Here is a 23199-nt window from a genome sequence, read left to right on the forward strand (position 1 = left end):
TTATGTAAGGACCAGGGAAGAATTGGAAGAAAGGAAAATATCACGTGTAAAGATCACGGTTGAGTATGTCACAATGTTGCTGGCCTTTAGTTTTAGTATCTGGTGTCAAAGACTTAGAGAGTTAATTTTTTTTCTACCTTTTTTTTTTTTCCTCCTGTGGCTGTCATCTGCTTACCTGCAGACCCAGGCTAACTCTGTTGTCGCTCTGGAGTTGGGCATCTCCAAGTTTATCTGTTGCTTTGCAAAGGCCGGATGCTTACTCTCATGGATCCAGGGTCCTCTGGCCCGCTGAGCTGGGCTTCTTATGCTGGGTCTCCTCCCCCTTTTTATGCCATGCTTTCTTCCCACTTTTCCTCCTTGTACAGCAAACACAGCACAAATGTTGGAGTCCTATAAGGGAAGTTGAAGGTATTATCCTAGACCTTTCAGGCTGGCAGGAGGTGAGGAGGCGGGCACCTGTTCCACCTGGCCCTGTGTCTTCTCATTACTGGATTTTAAGCAGCCTCCTTGAGTGAGGTGGGGAAACCAAAAGCAGTGTAAGAGCAGGGGCTTCTTTCTGCCCAGCAGGTCACCCCTCTCCCTGACCCTCAGGCCTCTTTTTAATCATTCCACTCCCTGGTTACCAGCTACCCAGCCTGGGTGTCACTTATTCTTGCCTCCAACACAAGGGGACTTGGTAACCTTGGTATATAATAGTAGCCTTTGAAATAAAAAGCTGCACATGAGGCAACTTGCAAATCCAAACTTTTCTGGGATGGGTGTGTAGTTGCAGAAAGAGTTCTTCCTTAAACAAAGGCAAATTTTCCAGTTACGCCAGTTAAACTGGTTCTCACACCAAATATCCCAATGAAGAGTTCTTCTTCTGTGCCCCTGGGAAAGGGAGGCCCCTGAAAAGCACTGTGCGCATGCCTGTGCCTGCCTTATGTTCTTAGGACCACATTCCCACCATTCAACAGGCAGAATTTAGCTAGGATGCCAGCACAGCTTTTTGTCGTGTGCATGCAACTATTTGAGGAAACGCTGGAGCTGGGAGAGTCCAAGCCTGGTAAAAATGACAACATGCATCTGCACAACCTATTCTAGATTATAGGGCTGGGACTAGGGAGAGACCAGTAAGTTACTAACCTGAGGTGCAACTTTTAAGGGAGTATCACACAGTAATCAATTAATCAAGAAAACAATATTTTGATGGAAGCACTTTTTAAAAATCAAAGTTAATGCAAAATATCTACAGTAAACACAATATCAAATTTTAAAATAAATATTAGTAACAATGCCATGCTATACTATGAGTCTGAGGCCAAAAGAAAAAAATTAGTAACACTAACCCAAAACATCGAAAGTGTTGATGTTTTGATCAGTATGGACTTTTATCCAGTAATTTTCATTTAAAAATATTGCATTAAAATATTATTTATCTTGATTATGGGTATTTTGGGACCCCCTTTAATTTTGTGCCCTACGGTGAGTGGCTGACTCGCCTCACTCTAGTGCCAACCCTGTAATACAAAGGGCAGTTTGGAGGCTTTAACTCATTTGAGCCTTACGACTATTCTCTAAGGTGGACATGGCAAGTATTCTTACCTGCATTTGACAGTAAAGGAACTAAATCCCAAAACTAGAGGCATGACTTGCCCAGGACTACATGGCACATGGTGAAGATGAGATTAAAAATGAGGCCTGTCAACTCTGAATCTGGGGATCTTTCCATGACACCAGAGAGTCTCAATCTCCAGTGTACCAAAAAATAATCAGGAGAGTTGTTAACATTCAGAGTCCTGAGTGCCAAACACTGAGACTCTGATTCAGAAGATCTAGGGTGGAATGCAATAGTCTACATTTCATTTAACAAACACACTAGCTGATTTTGACATCAATGAGCTGCCAACCAGTTGGGGCAACTCTGTAAGGACTCCAAGGCAGATGTCCCCAAGCTATGTCTGCAAGAGCTTGCTGTTCTTATCATTCACATTTCTTCTTGTAAGAAGATATCCGTACTCATGTGGGTTAAAATATTACTTTATCTAGTAAGGGTAACCTCAGCTAATTAACAAATAGCAATCATCAACTCATCATCCCTATTGTTAAACCAAGGGAGAGCATGGTCTTCTTAATCCACAAGACCAATGTACTATGACGCATGAGAGAAGAAGAAAAATCTGAAAAATGAGGGACCACTCCCATTAAATGGGAGGCCTGAGCAATCATGGGTCTGCTTGTGGGCACTGGGTGCATGGGATGAGTACCTCAGAAAGAAAGGGAAAGGGACTTCAAAGACAAACTTAGTCTACTTAATACTTTCTCTTGTACTGGTTAGAAATGAGAAGTTAATTATTTCTATCAAGGTAGTTTCTAAATCTAGAGCGAGTAAGAGAAAGAGTTATAAGAAAAATTAGTACTTTTTACCTTAATGCTTGTGGAAATGGTACCTTAAGTTGACAATGCAATAGTAGGGCCATAAAGGCATAAGAGAAACTTGAGCTGAATATGTGACTACAATGCAAGCAACTTGAGAAAGAATGTTATCAATGCTGCCAGGGAAGCCTTTCTGCTTGAGGTCAGAAGGATGAAAATCAAGGAAACAAATAAAAATATTTAAATTGGATTCTCAAACCATTCATCTCTGAAAAAATAACATCTAATATTTTCTTTTCTATCAACTGCCAGCCATGTGGATTTTACCAACGCTTTTCATCAAGGGGGACAATTTCCAGTTACCCCATCCTTAGTGGTTACTGTAGCCTCACATAGCTTGATTCTGGCAAAGAGCATAATTCCGTGCCAAAATGAAGTGTATTGGCCTGTTTTGTTCTTTGGGCTGTGGGTAAAAGAAGTGGCAAGGGGAGCCAGTTTTCTAATAATTGAAGTTAAAAGAAGTTGGCCTCAATGAAGTTTTTCATCTCAGGTATTCAGATTGCCCTCCTTCTCTGCCTGCTGGGATGTGCGTACAGATACAATCTTAATGTAGAGTCTGGGTGGCTATAGACCTGAATAGTAACAAAATTGTCAGGGCTGCCTGCACATTTGAAAACAGTATGTCTTCAAAAATTGCACTTGGCAGATGATTGATTGGACACATACCTCTAAGCAACACCAAGCATGATGTTGACATTTTCAGATGTACTCTCACAGTGCCGCCAGAAGAACACATGAACACTCCTCCCTTACTTTCTAAAATATGTCTGCCTATTGCTCTGCTCCATTCCTGTTCACTGATTATTTTCCATTGCTCCCTGGATCCCCTATCAACCAGAACAATGGTTCTCAAACATTAGTGGCATCAGAATGACCTGGAGTGCTTGTTAAGCTACGAATTGCTGGGCCCTACCCCTAGAATTTTTAATTTGGGAAGCCTGTGTGGGGCCAGAGAATTTTCATTTGTAATAAGTTCCCAGTTGATGCTGATGCTAATGAAGACTTTGAAAGCCACCAATCTAGAGTGATGGGTCTAAAACATTAGAATCACCTAGGGAGCTTTCATGAAAATACTGATGCCCAAGTTTACACCAGGCCAATTAAATCAGACTGTTTGAAGATGGAGCCTGTATTAGTTTTCTAGACCTGCTGTAACAAATTACCTCAAACTGAGTGGCTTAAAACAACAGCAATCTCTTCTCTCACAGTTCTGGAGTCTGGAAGTACCAAGTCAGTGTTTGCAGGCCACCATCCCTCAAAGGCTCCTGGGAGGGGGCTGATTGTAGCTCCAGCTGTGGCCAGCAATGTTGGGCCTTCCTTGGTTTGTAATTGTATCACTCTAGTCTCTGCCTCCGCCTTCACATGCACATGGCCTCTGTGTATCTATGTCTGTGCGCCCTCTCCTCTTTTCATATGGATGACAATGACTAGATTTAAGTCTTACCCTAATCCAGTATGACCTTTTCTTAATTTACACCTTAATTATATCTGCAAAGACCCTATTTCTGAGTAAAGTCATGTTCTGAGGTTCTTGGTGGACATGAATTGTGCAGGGGCATTGTGAGGAGACACACTATTCAATCCTGTACGGAACCCTGACTTGACTATAAGATCCCTGAGGGTCAGATCCATGTGTGTCCAACTGCCTTGGAGAGTCTGGAACAGAATGGGATGAAAAAAAATTTCTTGAATGGATGAGCCTGTATACCCTCTACTTCCAATTCACGGTCATCACAACATAACAGATGAAAAACACTCTTCATTTGTCTTAAAAGCTTGTTATAAACTATCTGCAGATTCCAAGGACGTTGAAGTGTTTATCTGTATGACTATTCAACTCTAAATTAAAGACCTTTCCTCAAACAACAAAAGATATTGAAGGTATTTCTTTGTAGAAAGACTTGTATTCTGTTCCTCAGGGCATTTTATAGGGAACATACCTATAAAGAGCCCAGATTACACACTTCTGAGAGCTTTTAATGATAAGAAACAATGTTTTTGAACTTCCCATTATGAACTAGAAATAATATTTTTACATGAAACAAAAATGCTAAATTACTTAACTGCCTCCCTAGAGTTTTAAGTTTTGTACAGTGTAAATGATTGTTGTCCAGGAATTAAGACCACAGGGGTGTCTCTTTAAAATGCCTGCGATATAAAGCAGGAGGCAGGATGCCTGTTGTCTGAACTTCAGTTGCAGAGGTGATTATTCATGGGGTCAGGGTGGGGGTGGACTAACATGCAAGCCACAAGCCCAAGCCAAACGTGATCACATTGGAAGGTGTGCTGTGGATTGTCAGTCAGTTGGAAATCAGAGCGAGAGAGGCTTATTTTGGATGAGGTGGCATCTCAGGATCACAATCAAAATTGTCCAGATGGCTTTATTTTGGATCCGTTATGCCAATATCAGATATGGGGGTGGTTTATGGGGGGTTCTTTGAAGACCACTCTGTGACCCCCTGCAGTGGCAGTGGATACAGTGGGACATAAAACTGAATTCAGGATTAGGAGCCCTGGATTCTGGTCTCAGCTCCAGCACACAGGATCTCTGAGATTACTTGCAGTTTTTAAGAATACTGATGTGGGGTATACAAATGTAATGAACGTCTAAATTCATGTATCTCGCTTTGCATTGCTGCATCTGCTTTACAGAGGTATCTCTTTTTTTCTTTGAAAGAGAGAGGTTTGGTTACTTATTTAGATTGTTAGAAGTATTTTCTCATCAGTGGATTCTGGCTTTGACATCCTTTTTGATAAAAAAAATTCTTCTTATATTAACCAGGAACATGATAATGTTTAGAAGTTATGAAAATATCTAAGTGTTTTTATAACATTTATGATATTTTAAAAATTCTTTCTAACCACACGCTAATAGTTATGATAATTTCCAGTTTTCTTTCTTAACCAGAGGCAGTGGTAGGCTTTTAACATGTCTTACTTCTCCCTTGAACCTCCTTCTCTATCAATGAACTGAGAGGACTGAAATCATCCGGGCATTTCTGAGCAAACGTCAGCTTTCTGAGAACTTGGAAGTTTTCTCACATCTTACTAGTTTATTTAGTCGTAAAGATTCGTTAAGATAAAAACCAAACACAGTCAAGTGTATGTGACAGATGTTTCTGGGATTTGGGCTAGAGGCACAGGCAGGAAGGGAAGCTGTCAGTCAAAGGCAGCCTCATATTTACTGCTGCGTTTTCCTGATTTTTAGACTTTGCGTAAAGAAAGGGGTGCCCTTCCTGCATGAGCGAGGCATATCTTTGCTCTCTGACAGCTGCTGCACCTCTTCTTTGAAGTTATTCTCTGGCATGCAAGATGCACAGTAATATATCTGAAGTCTAATTCTGTCAGGGAAAAAGTTCAAATTGAAGAGTAATTTTTTTTAACTGTAAAGAAAACTAATATTTGTGGAGCACCTACCAAATACAAAAAGAGTGCTACATGTTATTTCTTTTAGTTCTCATCATTGCACCCTTTTACAGACAAGAAAAAGAGGCATACAGCTAGTAAGTGGCAGGTCCTATGTTTGAATTCAGGTGTACAGATTCCACTTGTTTCTTGGAAGCACTTCCTTGGTTTGCCCTCAGTGTTTACACAGTCTTTCTTTATGACATTCATTTTTCTATTTGGAAGTATACATAATATAAACTTAACCATTTTAGCCATTGTTGAGTATACATTTCAGTGGCATTAAGTACTTTCACATTGTTCTGCAACTGTCACCACCATCGTCTCCAGAATGTTTTCATCTTTCCAAACTGAATTCTGTACCCATTAAACAATAACTCTCCATTCCCCTCTCCCTTCAACCCCTGATAAACTCCATCTACTTCCTGTCTCTAGGCATTTGACTATTACAGGTACCACATACAAGTGGAATCATATAATATTTGTCCTTTTGTATCTGGCTTATTTTACTTGATATAATGCCCTCAAGCTTCATCCATGTTTTAGCATGTATCAGGGCTTCATTCCTTTCTTTTATTTTGAGACAGGGTCTCACTCTGTTGCCCAGGCTGGAGTGCAGTGGCGTGTTCACAGCTCACTGGAGCCTTGACCTCCCAGGCCCAAGTGATCATCCTGTCTCAGCCTTCTGAGCGGCTGGGACTACAAGTGTGTGCCACCATGCCCGACTAATTTTTTGTATTTTTTTTTTTTTTTTTTTTTTTTTTGTAGAGACAAGGTTTCACCATGTTGGCCAGGCTGGTCTTGAACTTCTGGGCTCAAGCGATCCACCAGCCTTGGCCTCCCAAAGTACTAGGATTACAGGTGTGAGCTACTATGCCTGGTCCATTCCATTTTAAGGGTGAATAATATTCATGTGTGTGTGTGTGTGTGTGTGTGTGTGTGTTTGTGTACACCCCATTTTGTTCATTCCTTCATCCTTCAATGGACATTTTGGTTGTTTCCATCTTTTGCTACTGTGAATCATGCTGCTCTGTGAACATGGATGTACAAATATCTGTTCAAATCCCTACTTTCAATTATTTCTGGTGTATATTCAAAAGTAGGAATGCTAGAAGATTAGAATGTTTTGTTTGTTTTGAGATGGAGTCTCACTCTGCCACCCAGGCTGGAGTGTGGAGTGCAGTAACGCAATCTCGGCTCACTGCAACCTCTGCCTCCTGGGTTCAAGTGATTGTCGTGCCTTAGCCTCCCAAGTAGTTGGGTTATAGCCACATACCCGGCTAATTTTTGTATTTTTAGTAGAGACAGGGTTTCACTATGTTGGCCCCACTGGTCTCGAACTCCTGACTTTAAGTAATCTGCCCACCTTGGCCTGGGATTATAGGCGTGAGCCACCACGCCTGGCCTAGAATGTTTTAAAAATATATATAAAAATGTTAATTGAAGCTACCATAATCTCAAATACATTTTACAATTTTTCGAAAATGCATTTCCTATCCAAGTTACCAACTTTCTCATTTCTCGGTGATACCAGCGTTCTTCCAGCTTTCCAAGCTTGAGATCAAGATGTCACCTTGGACAATTTACCAGTGCCCTTCTCCTATAGTCTGCCATACACCATTGTTTATTTCTTCAAAGTATCCTCAAGATTGGGTTATTTTCATTAATTCTGCCATAACCTCAGCCCAAGTCTGATCACTGTGGATCACTCCAACAGCTGCTTGATACAGCTGCATGCTTCCAGACTGTTTCCTACCAAACCTCCAATATCATTGTTGGAGTGATTTTCCTAAACAGTTCCTTCATCATGTCACTCCCCACTCAAGAATCTACAGTGGCATTAAGTTCAAGGTAGTAAATGAATTGATTCCCTCTCATCTGTGCAACACTATTTACCTGTCTTCCTTGCCTTCTTCTCTACTCCAAGGGCTCTCTTCAATGTTAGTCTTATAAACCAAGCTATTTCCCCAATCTATGCCATTGCTTTCTACTCACCTAATCTCACAAAACCATTTCCTATTGCTCTTCAAAACATATAGGTTCTCCATTTATTTCCTACATTTTTTAGTTTTGCTCCCCACAACCACACGCTAAACTTCTTGAGTGTAGGATCTTTGTCCTGTACTTTTTGTGAGAATCCTAAGATTCTGGACAGATATGTGCTTGCTGGCTCATGAAATAAGACAGAGTAACAGGAAGACACAAATTGCAAAAGGTGGAGACAGAGTTATCAGAGCCCTTAGGAAGAAACTGCTTTACACCTAGGAAGAAATCTCTCGTAGTGGTTGTCAAATACCAGAATAGAAAGAGTTCAGCTTAAATAGTTCCTTATGCATCTTTTGCATTGTGGTGTACAAACTCGGGCCAGTGAATTTTCAAGGCAAAATGCTACCCAGGTGAGTCTGTTTCTTATTTTAAATAATTCTCAAGATATGTGAAATACTTAATAAGTGTTCCTGCTCTTCTCCTAAGCATTTTGATTACATGCAAACCCTAGAAACACAGCATTCTAAGAAATTTGAAATGTTCTTACTACTGTAAAGTTTGGGAGCTTTTCTCAAAGTAGCTTTTTGGTCCAGTTAATAAAGAGATTTTTTTTTTCCTTGAGAAGGGCTTAGGAGGAACAGTTTCACACCTTATAGTAATTTCATAAATGCATAATTTGACACTAAGTTGGGAATACAAATCATTTTTCTGTAAGCAGACATGACATCCAGAAAGTTAACCCCAGAATCTGGCATGCCCTCCTCTTAGATTAGGACATGGGTGTTAGAATCACAACATTAACCAATTCAAGTTTAAGAACAGAATATGTCACAGAAGGTCAGATAAGTGAGAGCTACAAAAACTCAGAGAGATAATGAGAGAGAAGGGGGTGGAGAGAGAGCAAAAGGGAAAGAGAGAGGGTGGGAAAATAGCATTGGAAGAATATTTTAATGATATTTCAGGCCATAGAAATATTGTGAAATTTTATGAATATGTCACAGAAGTTCAGATAAGTGAGAGCTACAAAAACTCAGAGAGATAATGAGAGAGAAGGGGGTGAAGAGAGAGCAAGAGGGAAAGAGAGAGGGTGGGAGAATAGCATTGGAAGATTATTCTAATGATATTTCAGGCCATAGAAATATTGTGAAATTTTATGAATATGTCACAGAAGTTCAGATAAGTGAGAGCTACAAAAACTCAGAGAGATAATGAGAGAGAAGGGGGTGAAGAGAGAGCAAGAGGGAAAGAGAGAGGGTGGGAGAATAGCATTGGAAGATTATTCTAATGATATTTCAGGCCATAGAAATATTGTGAAATATAAGATTAATTAAAGACAACCAGAATTTTTTGGTTATGGATAATGAATAAATAAAATCATGCAGCCAAATTAGCTCATTTCCATCTCCTATTTATAGACATTGTATTTAGATAGACTTTTTCACAAATAAATACCAAATTTGGAGCTAACATGACTGAAGGCATCTCTACTTTCTGTTCTCTTCTCTTTCACTGCTCTTAGGTGAGTCAAATAAGCTCTCAGGGCCTTTACTTTAAACTGATACTCTTCTAATTCCTGTTAATGCAATCTGTAGGAGAGACATTAACAATGTATTTTGAGGACTCCTGATAGTAAAGTGCTGTTCTAGCCACTACTGCAGTTATGAAAGTTAAAATTTAAAAATATCCACCATTGTACCAATATTTAATTAACAATACTCTATCACTGTCAGCACCAGAGGGCCTTGAATAAACTATTGTTCTGGCTTGGTTGACAGACAGCTTGTCAGGAAATGATCAGTATTGGCCATGATTTAGGGCTAATTTCATGGATGTTTTCCAGTTTCCGCGATCTTCCTTTCCCCTCTTCCAAACAAAAGTGCTTCTGAAAATTTCTGTTTAACATCTTTCACTTTGAATAAAGAAAACACAAAACATACCCCTCGTGGCTGGTATTGGTGAAATTACTTCTCTGGAGAGACCAGCAGATGAAGGTCTTGTTTGAGAGGCACCAGGCAGAGGTTTCATTCTGTATCAGAGACCACACTCAGACCTGCAACCTGAGATCTATCTCTCCCCCTCCCTTCACCTACCTACACACATACACCACCTAAATGAACACAGATGGCTGGCACCCAGAGTAGGCATCTAGGAAAACAGCCGCAGGCCTCTCTGTTTGCTGTCATTTCATTGTACAAACAGACAGCCTTCGAGATGCTGGTGTTGTTTCTTAATCTGAGATCATTCTTGTTTGGAAGTTTACCCACTTCCTGTTGAGAAATATAGCAAAAGCATCAGAATACCCAGAGCTCGATTTGACTAAAACCAAACATTCATTTTAACTCGTTAGATAGTTAAAATCATCGTCATAGTACACTCAAGGTATACTAACTCATGTAGAGGATTATATTTAATAAAAGCCACATATTGATATAATCCATATCAGTTCCTACCTGGCAATACATGTTCTTCCTTCAGAGCTGCATAGCATCATCTGATGTATTTGTTTCTCTGTGTGAAATAAATTAATTATTCAAATGTAATATAAAAGAGTGTAAAGCCAAACTTCACAAATGCTGAAAAATAATCTAAATCTTTATACTGCCCCCCCCAACAAATGGAACATATGTTTTCTCCTATTTATTTCTGTATAAAATATGTAAACAATTACCTGGGTTTGGAGGACATAATTATGAAGAGGTTGATATCTAAAAGGTTATTACTGATTTATAGAACTCTCTAGTTTAATAGAAGACATATTTAGGATAAGAAAAAAAATACTGCTTTCTCCAGGAACAATAAATGTCTCAAAGGGGAAACGTAAGATTTAAGAGTAATTTTTATTAGACATATATACTACAGTTTGTGAATCTAGCAGGTGTTTCTCATTTGAATGATTTCTACATAATAAAAATTTTGTAGAGCTATCTCACACTTTGTAGTATATTTTATATGTCTCAAAATGCAGTGATTAAATTTCATTTCAAGGGCATTTTTTTAAAGTCTGAATTCCTCAATTTCCCTTCATGGGTTTATAATTCTCAGCCTGAAGATTAAATACCATATTAACAAGTATAAAATATTTATTTAAGCAAGAAATTGAGCTTAATTCTCCCTGGCATGTGTGCGTATTCTTCCTGGGTCTCCTATACACACACACATGCGCACGAGCACGTATACACACACACACACACACACACACTCTGTCATACACACACTTTCTGCAAATTCATCTAATGTTGAACAATGTAATAATGCTTAATATTAGTATGATTCTGCATAATAAAAATTAAACCTTGCACTTGGGAGGATCTTAATACTTTAACTTCATAGGTTGTTAAATTACAGTTGCAATGTATTTATGCAAGAGTAATCTAATTTTCAATATTCAGAAGATTGCATGGCTCAGGAAAAAAACAAAAAAAATCAAATTTTTTTCTTTTAGGGAAAATTTTAATTTACCAAGTCATTCACAAAAGCCTTAATCATACCTTAAGCAGGATTTTAAATTATACAAAACTTCCTAACTTGTGGCTTTTCATAAAGATTGGCCCAGTGTCAAGAATTCAAAAACCAAATATTTTCAGAAGTGGAAAAACAAGAAGAAAAATAAAATGGTACATGCTTAAATTGATACATGTATTTAATAACATCCTATAACCGCATACATAAACCTGTATAGTCTCTAATGTATCACATTTGTTACTCCTTTTAATCTGACTTACAGCTGAGGACTGCTTTATAACTAAGGCTGGCTTTCAGATATAATAATAGCCAAAGACTTCAACTTCTGGCTAAGATGGAGTAACGTGGACTGGATTTATCCTCCCACCCTGAGCAACTGGAAAACTGGACAAAAAATGTGAAACAGCAATTTTTAGACATTGGACAGTAGAGAGCACAGGACTCTCATCCCTGAGAGAAGAGAAGCAAACAAGGTGAGTCCTGTGATTGCACCAGTTTAATGACCAAAGTATTTCCAGACTGGGAAATGACAAAGATAAGGGAACTAACAGATGACGGAACTAACAGATGAGGACTTCAAACACTTATTATATTCTCTATGTGCTAAAAATTTTAGAGAAAACACAAGCCTGATGAAGAGAGAAATAGAAAATATAAAAAGGATCCAAATAGAACTTTTAGAGATGAAAAATACAACATCTGTAATGAAGAGTAATAATTGCTAAAATTTAATGAATTTTAAACGTGGCAAGGTGCCAGGCCCTGCGCTGAGTGTTTTACATGCAACATCTCATTTAACTACAGCCTTTCTCCTATAAAGCAGGTGTTACAGATGAGGATGCCAAGGATTAGAAAAGACAAATAATTGTACATTGTAGAGCTGAAACTTGAAACCACATGGCCCGCCTTCTAGGCTCATGCTTTTAAGCAACATTCCTATTGTTTATAGCAATGTTTGCAATAAAATATAATTTAGTCTAAAGAATGAACCTTATCTACAGATGTTTATTGAAATTCGTAGAGAATCTCACTAAAAATTACACGTCGTTTTGTGTATGTGTGTGTGCATGTGCACGTGTGTCTGTGTAAGTGTGCACACACACGCATGTGTGCATGATGTTGGTATAGATTTGCTAGAGATCAGATAGGTTTTTCTGAGAGTCTTATAAGGTTTGAGATGGAGAATGATTGAACTTATTTCTATTCTGCTGTTTTCTCAGGAAGATACGACAGAGATGAATTGAGGGAAACTTGCAACTTAATGGTAGAACAATACACCATAAGATTGTTCAGAGCTTTTTTCTTGCTGTTAACGTATTCTGCAACTGATACTTCAAGTGTGCCAATAATAATAAGAAGAATATAATATTAGCTAAAGTTTGTCAAATGATTGTTGTGTGTCCTGCTCTTCTAACATACATGTGTTACCACATTTAATTCTTTGAGGTAGCTTCTATTCTTATTTATAGCGTCGAGGAGCAGGGAGATGTTACCTGACTTGTCCAAGTAACCCTGTAACCTTGAGAAGGTTACACAAAGGTCATACAAAGTATTTCTTGTAGAGAATCATTCTTGAAAATGAGTTTAATAATAGTTTCTGTCCCATTATAACTTTTCTGTACAAGACATTTATTTTAATAGGTTTTCTATAAAATCATTTTATATAAAGATTATTTAATAGACTAGCTTTAACTATAATAGACACTATCCAACTGATAAAGAATGAAGCACATAGATTTTTCAAAAACCAAAATGTCTTAATACTCTGGTGTGAATACATCAATGAAGTAATCATATTTGTTCTCAAGAGTACCTTAACTTAAATAATGGGTTTATCCTGAGATTAAAATATTTCAGCTTCACAATTTTTGAAGTCCATAGTTATGTCAAGAAATTTCTGTTCCTGAATAATGCCTACATAACTAATTCAGCCTAATGTCCTTATACTAAGACTATTAGGCAACAACAGTAATTTGCCACTTTTTCATTCTCTGCAAGTAGGATAGAAAGTCCACTTGAGTGACCATTTCAGGTCACAGAATAAGTCATTAATAAAATTGAGACTGAGACTCTCATAAGTAGATTCTTGCCGTAATACTCCATCCCTTTATAAGAGCTACTTTTCACTCACAGAAAGTGAGTAGCCCTGTGCCGGGTGGCAGTTGGCCGAATGTGACTCACAGCGGGCAGGAGGGAACTGCATGAGGGTTCCTTATGTGTCTTGAACAAAGCGAGTCAATTTTATTTCAACGAGCATTTACTAAATGTGATGCTGTGCACATTCTAAGTTAAAGATGGAACTACTAAGTCCTGATGCTATCCTCATTGTCTAAGCCAGGCATGTACTTAACAAATAAACAAGTCAGTTGTGCCTATTTTTGTTCCAACTCCACCACAGAAAATCAGTCACATGAGTAGTCACTAGGCATAGAGTGGAAAAACAAACATTTGATCGGATTGTGGCAGTCACTTGTAGGCTAGATGCATTGCTGTTGAGTATATCAGGAAACAATTCCTACAATTTTGATTTCATGGGCTAGAAAAACGTTTTTTGTTTTGTTTTAAATTGGAGACCAACATAGATCAAGTAGAATAAAAATCAAAGAACAAAACCACCATCAAATATCACCATCAACACATATTTTGTTTAACATCAAATAATTAGTAAGGGTATAATTTTTTGACCTTATCAGAATAAAGGATAGTTACTTAAATTGAATAGATTTAGTTTTGTGAAAGAAAATTCATTTAATTTTCCCTGTTCTTCTCATTTTTACATGAACCATGAAAAACCTTGTCAGTCTGGCACCCCTTTGCAAATAGGAGTTTAAGAACCCTTTCCATAGATACATTTTAGTCTCCATGATACAAACAACACTGGACTAAAAAGAGAGAGGTGAAGCCACACACCCAGGGCAGTCTTGAGAATACAGTGTCAGCAAAGGGGACACTGGCCTGCTGATCAGGCCTTAGTCTTTCTTGGTGGCCGCATCGAAGGCAGGTGGCTCTCTGGGCCAAGTGGGTCCTCTTTGGATATGAAGAACAGCAACCTGTGAAAATGCTGTGATTTCACTACTTACTACCTGTGTTTTTTTATGAGTTCAAACGTTAAGGAAATATGTCTCACGAATGTAACTACCAAATAATCAAGTCTATATGAACTTCACTCAGGCCAGTCGTCATACATTTTTTGGATCACAAACTACTTTGAGAATCAGATGAAAGCTATGAACTTTCCTCCCAGAAAACTGCACATATGTGTCCACCTAAGAATATTTTGTGCATATTCCAGGGGGACCTCTGAACTCCGTAAATGGATTCCAGTTTAGAGATCTCAGCTTTAATGCATGAAGGGATTTGAGGTCTTCACCACTGCTATTCTAACTTATCTGTGCTTCCTTATACTGCTTTAGTTTCTACTTAATTCTCAAAAAGCACTTCATGATTATCTTTGCTGCAGCTTCTTCTCGTATCCTGTAGCACATGTTCCTGGAGAGGAGGTTAGATTTTCATCTTGGCTCCTGGATTTCACTCCTTCCAGGTCCCTGCCAGGCCTGGACTACATTTGGCTGTGGTCCTGAAAACCTTTCTAGCTCTTACCAACTTTCCTTCAAAATCTGGATCTTGTTCTTACTCCTTTTGCCACAGATTTATACCTAGCTACAACTGGATTTTGTGAAAAAAGTCTGCCTCTTATTATGAAATCCCAAAGAACCAAGATGTTACTGCCTAAAGACTATTGTGGTGCTCCTGCCATGAGATCAGACTTCTTCAATATCGTGACAAGTTGGAATCAGACCTAAGGTCACTGTTAACCCTCTGCACGTTCTAAGTAATGGCCAAGATTCTCAGTTAGTGGGTAGAGCTCATCTGTCCCCTCTAGTCCTGGTTTACTCTTTTCTCCATCCTGCCTTGCCACAGAAGTCTCAGTAGGTCTGAAAGCTACGATGACATCCAGAGTTGATGTTAAGTCCACTTCTCTATATGGAAATAAATGGTCAAGGCAGGTTTTAAAATGTTTTCTCACTGACCTTTAGTAATATTAACTCCTACTTAGCAGGGAGTGGATCTGAGCAACATATAATTGGCTAGCCTTCTTCAACTCTCTGATTTAGGGCATCTTAGTAGTATATAGACCTTTCACACACACACAAAAAAACCCAATCTTTTTTGATTAATCATTAACTTGAGGCTAATGAAGATTGTTCCACAAAGTTATTGAATTCAATGATGATAAGTACATGCCTTAATGTTAGGAAAGACTAAAAACCATCCAAATGTGGTGGACTTCAACCTGTCATTGAGCACACTGAACTATGTTAACTAAAATTTATTGGATGTTTAGTAAGTACATAATAGCTCAGTAAACATGTTAGTATTATCATTATTATGTGTGCAAAACATACTAAGTGCTTTATGTGAATTATTATTATTTTTTAATAATTTCAACTTTTACTTTAGATTCAGGTGGTACTTGTGCAGGTTTGCATAATGCCGATGTTTGGGGTACAATTAATCCCATCACCCAGGTACTGAATGTAGTACCCAATAGTTAGTTTTTCAACCCTGACCATCCCCCTCCCTCCCACTTCTAGTAGTCCAAAGTGTCTGTTGTTATAACCCATCTTTATATCCATGAGTACCCAATGTTTAGGTCCCACTTACAAGTGAGAACATGTGGAATTTTGTTTTCTGTTCCTGTGTCAATTTACTTAGGATAATGGCCTCCAACTGCATTCATGTTGCTGCAAAGGACAAAATTTCATTCTTTTTAATGGCTGCAGAGTATTCCCATGATGTACATGTGCCATATTTTCTTTATCCAGTCCTATGTGGACTATTTTATTTAATTTTCAGAAATGCTCTCTGAGGCAAGTACTATTATCTCCAGTTTAAAGTAAGCTTAGAGAGGTTAACCTGCTTAGGATCATTAGTAGAGCCATAAATCAAATCCTGATTCTGGGGCCTAGGCTCTATACCACTGTAGTATATGGCATCTTTATCACACTGAAAATTTTCTTTGTAAGATCCTCTCAAAGTAATGTAGATCTTTAAACAAGGCCTTTGTTCATTTGCTGTGGATAGGTAGTGGCAGTCTGAAACACTGGTAAAGACTGCCGATCCTGGTGTGAGTCAGACTAGGTTTGATTCCAGGCTGTACCACTTACCAGTTATAAGACTTACAGCATATAAATTTAATTCTCTGTGCCTCAGTTTTCTATTTGTAAAAATGGGTAATGACACCTATCTCACTAACTTGTGAGAATTAACACATGTAAAATGTTTATAATACTCCCCAATTTACAGTAAATGTTCAAAAACACAAGCTACTATTATTTGGGTTATGTCAAAATAGCCTAATACATTCTCCATTCCTTTATTTTCTGATGAAAGAGTAAATTCCAGAATAGAAAAATTTCTCTAGCCAACGATTTCATGCTCAAATTCACTGATACGCTGCAGTAATTCATTCAACACATGTTTGAGTTCCTTCTACATGTAAGGCATTGTGCTTGGCACTGGCCATCTTGTTCTGAGGTAGGGGCCAAATGAATGTGGACAAGTTATGCAACTTCACCATAAGAGGCATTCTATAATAGGTGATTAATTCTGTTTCAGTCTGAGAAATGGCTTGGATCTCACAGTTTCTCTAGGGGTCTCTCCCTTTATCAGGCCAATCTAAGACCCAGCAGTGCTGATTCCCTTAAATAATGATTGGCAAGGTCTTCTAACACCCAAGCATTGATCAAATGCTGAATAAAATAACCCTGGATGGTCAGCAACAGAATACACTGGTCATTATTTCTCTACTAGAAGCATAAGCTTATCTTTAGACATGCAGGCTCTCCAAAATGGCTATGATCAGCTCGGTTGTTAAAAACATGCCTATTTAGTGAGTTGTTAAACTCTTTGATCCCCATTATAACCTCCAAGGACCTATCAATCTATATGCTGTTCTGTTTTATAGTTATTATTATTCTTGAGCAATGAGCATTTGGCATCTGAGAGCTCTGGAACTCTGTCTTTTTGAATATAATAGCACAGACTTGAAAGTAAAAACCTGCTTGCTATTCTGAAAGCCTCTTCTTGCTGGTTGCCCAAGTCACCACTACAACTTTTTTCTCAGCAGGCAAAAAGCCCTGATTACCTTTTGTAGGAGAAAAAGGATTAGTCTAGGAAAACTCACCACTTTTGTTTTCATCTCGGAGACTGCATATCGTGAATTGCGTAAGTCACTGAGACGAATAAATCATTGAGAGAAGCTAATCAATGTCCCTGGAAGTTTATATTTCATCTTCTCTTAGATATCTGGTGTGCTGAAATAACACAGGGTTTCCTACACCTTAGCCTCATTTATTTTCAGCATCAGAAGGACCCTTAATGACAGGGCCTTTATGAAGCATTAGAAAATTCCAGGGCCAATAGATATTCTGAACAGAAAGTGCTGACTTGAAAATTCCCTAAACTGAGGATTGCTGCCGTTACAGCTGCATGAGCTCTGACATTAGTTGTTGGTAAAGTGCATGGGGTCAGGGTTCACCATGACCTTTTCTTCAGCTAGAAGAGTAAGGGATGACTGACCACAGATACAACCCAGATACTGTGGTACTGCCCAAGTATCCAGTTCACAGAGATCCTGCAGTGCTCACAGCTGCTCACTTCCTATTGGGTTGGCCATGGAACCCATGGGTATAAATCCTTTCTGTTTTCATTTCCCTGCTGCAGGTAGTAGTTCTTAAAAGTTCAGGAGGAAAGGGTTCCCTTTAAGGGTCTGATGAAGCTTTGCACTTTCTTTTTAGAAATATGCGCATATGGAGAATATCTTGAGTACAACTTCAGGGAATTTGAAGACTTTCTGAAGTCCATCTCAGCACCCCGTGGGGTCCAAACCTCACAGGTATGTTGTTTGAACAAGTACAGTTTCTGGAATTTATTTTTATGGTTTTCACATCATATCCTTTCCTAAAGTGACCCCTTTTCTTACAGAATCTGGAACTCTTGTCTTAGAAAAACTACAAGCAGAGACTCCTAAGCAAAGCTTGGTGTCTAAATTCCTCTTCCCCACTTTATTTTTCCCCAGTTAGGTTTTTTCAAAAACTTTTTAATATGGAAAATTTCAAACATATAAAATAGTATAACAAATCCCCATGAGCTCATGAACTGATTCAACAATTACCAGCTTATGGCCAATTTGATTTCATTTACATCTATACCTCTCCTCATATTATTTCATCAGTTAGTTACTGAAGTATGACATACGTTCTTTCCTTATTATCTTGAATCAAAACCTATATACTAATTCATTTATAAATACCTTATTTACATAAGAAATCATGCAAATTATAAGAAAAGCTACAGTACCATTTTCAAACCTAAAAACATCGAGCAATTCCTCATATCATCATACAGTGTTCATATTTCCAATGATCTTATAAATGTTATTAAAGTGTTTTAATGGTTCATTTGATTATATCAGAATTCAAGTAAAATTTCCATGTTATGATTTCTTGGTATGTTTCTGAAGTCACTTTTAATCTATGAATTCTCTCTCCTTTCTTTCTGCTTGTAATTTACTTGTTGAAGACACAAGGTTGTTTTTCCTATAGAATCTCCTTGAGTTGGGGTTTTGCTGGTTGCATCCCCATGGTGTAGCTTAGTATATTTCTTGCATATGCTTTTCTTCTGACTGTATTTCCCATAAATTATTAGCTGGATCTAGCTTTCTTGGATTTAAGTTTGATTTGTTTGTTGAGGCTATTTCATCAAAGTGGTGGTTTGTATTTCTATCAGGAGTTATCTATCTATTTATTTATTTATTTATTTTGAGACAGAGTCTCACTCTGTCCCCCAGGCTGGAGTGCAGTGGTGCCATCTCAGCTCACTGCAACCTCGCCTCCCAGGTTGAAGAGATTCTTCTGCCTCAGCCTCCCAAGTAGCTGGGATTACAGATGCACACCACCACGCCCAGCTAATTTTTTTGTATTTTTATTAGAGACAGGGTTTCACCATGTTGGCCAGGCTAATCTTGAATTCCTGACCTCAGGTGATCCACCCACCTCAGCCTCCCAGAGTTTTGGGACTACAGGTGTGAGCCACTGTGCCTGGCCTTATAAGGAGTTATCTCTAATTGTGAGATGTTAGCAGCTATTGTTAATCCATTAGTTCATGAAAGGTTGCAAAATAGTACTATTATAATTCTATCATCTCTTCTTTATTTATTAGCTATAACACTTACTCAAAGAGCTATTTTCTTGCATTTCCTATTTTGTTGCTATTTTAGTCTGTTTTGGCTGCTATAACAAAATACCATATACTGGGTGGATTATAAACAACAGAAATTGATTTCTCACATTTCTGGTGGCTGGGAAGTCCAAGACGAGAGTATCAGAAAATTCAATGTTTGGCGAGGGTCCACATAGTAGAAAAGGAGAGGAGTCTTTCTGTGGTCTCTTATAAGGGCACTAATCCAAACTCTTGAGGGTGGAGGCTTCTTAACCTAACCACCTCGCAAAACCCTCACCTCTTAACACCATCACCTTGGGAATTAGGATTTCAACCTGTGAATTCTAGGGGGACACAAACATTGAGACCATAGCAGTTACCCATTGGCATATAATATATAGGGAACCTGGGATAAATACTTGATTCTTTCTGTTTGTTTACCTATTTTCAAAATTATGAGTTGTCAATGTCTTGCATTCTCCAAAGGTGACCATGGATTTAAATGTATTTGATCAGTTTTAATCCATTGCAGTTTTTATCTGAATTGACGCACTACTTAATCTATTTCTGGTCAGTTGGAGCCTCTTTATTTTGGTTCCTGAGTCCTTTTGAAATGACCATAGAAGTCTTTTGATAGTTTACTTGATATCTGTAGGACAAGATGTTCCCAGATCATCTTGTATATTTCTTGTCACAGAATCAGCCACTTCTCCGAAGACCTCTGGTTCTTTTCAGAGGGAAATTTTATATGGACACATTAATCTTACTTCTGGATGTGTTCATTGATTGAGCCAAGTCTGGATATGGGCTTTTAACATTCTAATAAATTAATTGGTAAGAATATGTTTGGAGTACTGTTTAAATGATAAGACACACCTATCTTTTCTGTGATGTAATTAAAATATTATGGCCTTTTCTTGGTTATTATATATGTCAAATTTTATATGATCATTATATTCTAGACTTACTGTTAGAAAACTTCAAAATGTCACCTAAGGAAACTCCAAAATTTAAATGTCAGAGGATGGTCCAGTCCTATAAGTTATTACAAATGCTATTATCAGGTTATGGATCCCACTTATTAAATTTATTTAATATACTTACAACATCTAGTGATGCTGTTGAGAACTGCATCTTCAACAATTCCACAAGGTCAAACAGAGCCTACCCATTTTGGGATCTGCAATTAGATAGAAGCAATGACAAGGGAATTAGGAACTTGCACATATAATTGCAAGTATTGAGAAGTGGTACAAATATGTGATAAAAATTCAAGAACAATGTTGAGTACAAAGGTCACATTTAAGAAAGATATATATGGAATAAATCAATACTTATAAATTTTAAAATACTCAACAGTATTGTATATTAGTTCAGGATGCACACAGATGCAATTAAAACTTAGAATATGAACAGGAAAGATGCACAACTTTGGACTGCTGGTTACCTCTTAGGAAAGAGATAGGAAGAGAAAGAAATGAGATCAGGGAATGGTGCCAAAAGGACTTAATTACACCTGTAATACTTTATCTCTTTATTAAAAAAAATTAGAGGAAAAGACAACAGAAAAAGTATGAAAGCCTCTGAATATATGAAATACAGGAAGCAGTTTGACTTATTAACCTATGTGGTATGTGGCAAAGCAGTAATATTAAGCTTTCAGCCACCTGCCTGCTCCATTTTTTAAGGTAAAGAATATATATAATGTTTTCAAATGTGTGTGTATGTATATATCCATATAGTTGAGAATTACTAAACTGCCTGAGTTTTGCGGCAGTATTCAGGTCAAGGAAACATGGGTCTTTATTTTTGCCAATAATATTTTATTGCTGTAAAAATTACTAAATGCTAACTCTATCCTGAATCACTCAGCATATAACTACTGCAACACAAAAGGAACGAAAAGCACAACCCCAAACAGCACATTCTGGCCAACATAACCAGTCTCCAACCTTCTCCTTTCAGCCTCTTTGCCTACATGACCTAGGAAAAAATTAAGATTTACCCAGGCAAGATGACCATTCTTAGTCCCTTTCAGCCCAGTGCTGGACCTCTTCAGTGATGCTCTTTCTAAGGGGGAAGAATGCTGTGGATGATGGCTACTATCCCTAGTCTTCTGGCACTTTTAATTGTGGATTTACCTTCTTCATTCCCTATTATCCTCTTCCTCCTGGTGAGGTTAGATGAGGCAGAAGAGTGTCCCCATGGATGTGAAATCAACCTGGGCATCTCTTTGATGAAAGTGGGGATGACAGCAACCCAGAAATGCAAAGATCTCTGATTCTCAAGGAAATCACAAGTTTCCTTGAGAGGGCGTCTCAGAATTGTCAACAGAAAATTCTGCTGACTACCTACTTGATAGGATGGGATGCATTGAGAGCAGTTTTCAGTTCACCCAGAATCCAATCCCACAGATCCCTGGGACTCTTCCAGTTTTCCATTCTGTTTCCTAGTTTGCTTTTTGTGTTCTCTATCACCCTTCGCATATTTCTCCCCTTGCCTTAGTGTATTTTAGAGGAATATATTATATTGGGAATATCTTATATGAAACTCAAGCTGGTGTAGGTATGAAAAAGAGGGTAGTGTAGAAATGGGGTGAGTCTCTACAATCAGAAAATCAATGAAATAAAAGCAGATAGGAAAAAGAACAAGATTAGGAACAAGAGAATGAGAGCTGCTTAGAAATGGAAGAGTGGAGATTCAGGGGGAATCAATATTCTCTGTAAGTTTTTGAAAAATAATAAAATGTATTTATGTATTGCTCATATGATACAAATTTAGTACAATTTATTAAGAAATAGGGAAGATGAGGAAAGATAAGAGAAATAGAGGGAAAGAAGAGAAGCAATGATATCATAACAATGTAATAAAACACTTCTGGTGGCAGGGCAGGGCAGGAAGCAGTTTGGGGTCAACGAGAACAGTGCAATTACAAAATACTCCACTCATGTATACATGGCCTAAGTGATGAAGCCAAGAATAAAACCCAGATTTCCCAATTCCTGGCCCTGGGCCTTATGTATTAAATCATGTTGCCTCTGCTGTCAGATAATCATCTTGCATCTGGAACATAAATACAGCCAATTCAAATATGCATCTTGATCTTATCATGTGGTTAGCAATCCACACTGTTATTACTGTCAATAGGACTGCATCCCATTAATACCATGTTCACTTTTTGGCTACAGAGCTAGTGGCATAAGGTGGATAAATACAATATAGAATGTGGTCAAAGAAAATCACCCTCATTCCAAATACTACAAGATATAAGAGGAAGCTCCCAGGTAGAGCTACTGTGGAGAATCTTCAGGAAGCCACATGGAAAATCTGGGAAAATTTATTTTAAATAAAGATGTATTCTGTAATACGTCTTTACTTGATAACTCTAAATCAGGTGGGATTTGAAAAAGTGTAGTGATTTGATTATGAATCTATTTTTAAATTAAATGACAATTTTTACTACAAGAAACACAACTTTTTTTTTTTTTTTGACAGTCTTGTTCTGTCACCCAGGCTGGAGTGCAGTGGCACAATCTCAGCTCACTGCAACTTCCATCTCCCAGGTTCAAGTGATTCTCGTGCCTCAGCCTCCCAAGTAGCTGGGATTACAGGCATGCACCACCACGTCCAGCTAATTTTTTTTTTTTTTTTTTTTTTGGTATTTTTCAGTAGAGACAGGGTTTCTCCAGGTTCACCAGGCTGATCTTA

At 38.1% G+C, this 23199-nt stretch overlaps 1 protein-coding gene and 1 long non-coding RNA gene across 7 annotated transcripts in view, besides 1 other annotated feature; one reads left to right on the forward strand and one right to left on the reverse strand.

The window, feature by feature from the left end:
- Nucleotides 1–23191, forward strand: part of LOC105375411 (uncharacterized) — a 59097-nt gene extending 35906 nt beyond the window's left edge. The window contains exons 2-4 of the long non-coding RNA XR_927780.2: nucleotides 11531–11741; nucleotides 18069–18166; nucleotides 23161–23191. This is a non-coding gene — a long non-coding RNA (uncharacterized LOC105375411). The remainder of the gene's footprint in view (nucleotides 1–11530; nucleotides 11742–18068; nucleotides 18167–23160) is intronic.
- Nucleotides 1–23199, reverse strand: part of SEM1 (SEM1 26S proteasome subunit) — a 228221-nt gene that overhangs the window by 4402 nt on the left and 200620 nt on the right. For 2 of the 6 annotated variants that reach the window (NR_163953.1, NR_163952.1), the window contains 3 exons: nucleotides 20596–20671; nucleotides 10257–10314; nucleotides 176–390 (listed from right to left, as the gene is read on the reverse strand). The gene's annotated coding sequence lies outside the window, so the exon portion shown is untranslated. Of the gene's footprint in view, nucleotides 1–175; nucleotides 391–10256; nucleotides 10315–17455; nucleotides 17497–20595; nucleotides 20672–23199 lie in introns of those variants that run through there. The other 4 variants (NR_163949.1, NR_163948.1, NR_163951.1 and 1 more) reach the window with 2 other exon arrangements.
- Nucleotides 9579–10076: an enhancer, noted in NCBI's record as "VISTA enhancer hs2311; eDlx#18 fragment used in the reporter transgenes". NCBI's record gives its function as "enhancer in: branchial arch[8/11]; activates a minimal Hsp68 or E1b promoter in branchial arch of transgenic mice and transgenic zebrafish {active_cell/tissue: branchial arch}" and the evidence as "EXISTENCE:transgenic organism evidence [ECO:0001131][PMID:17130149, PMID:22914741]".

Source organism: Homo sapiens, chromosome 7, assembly GCF_000001405.40.
Source record: "Homo sapiens chromosome 7, GRCh38.p14 Primary Assembly".
In the NCBI taxonomy this organism is placed as follows: Eukaryota; Metazoa; Chordata; class Mammalia; order Primates; family Hominidae; genus Homo; species Homo sapiens.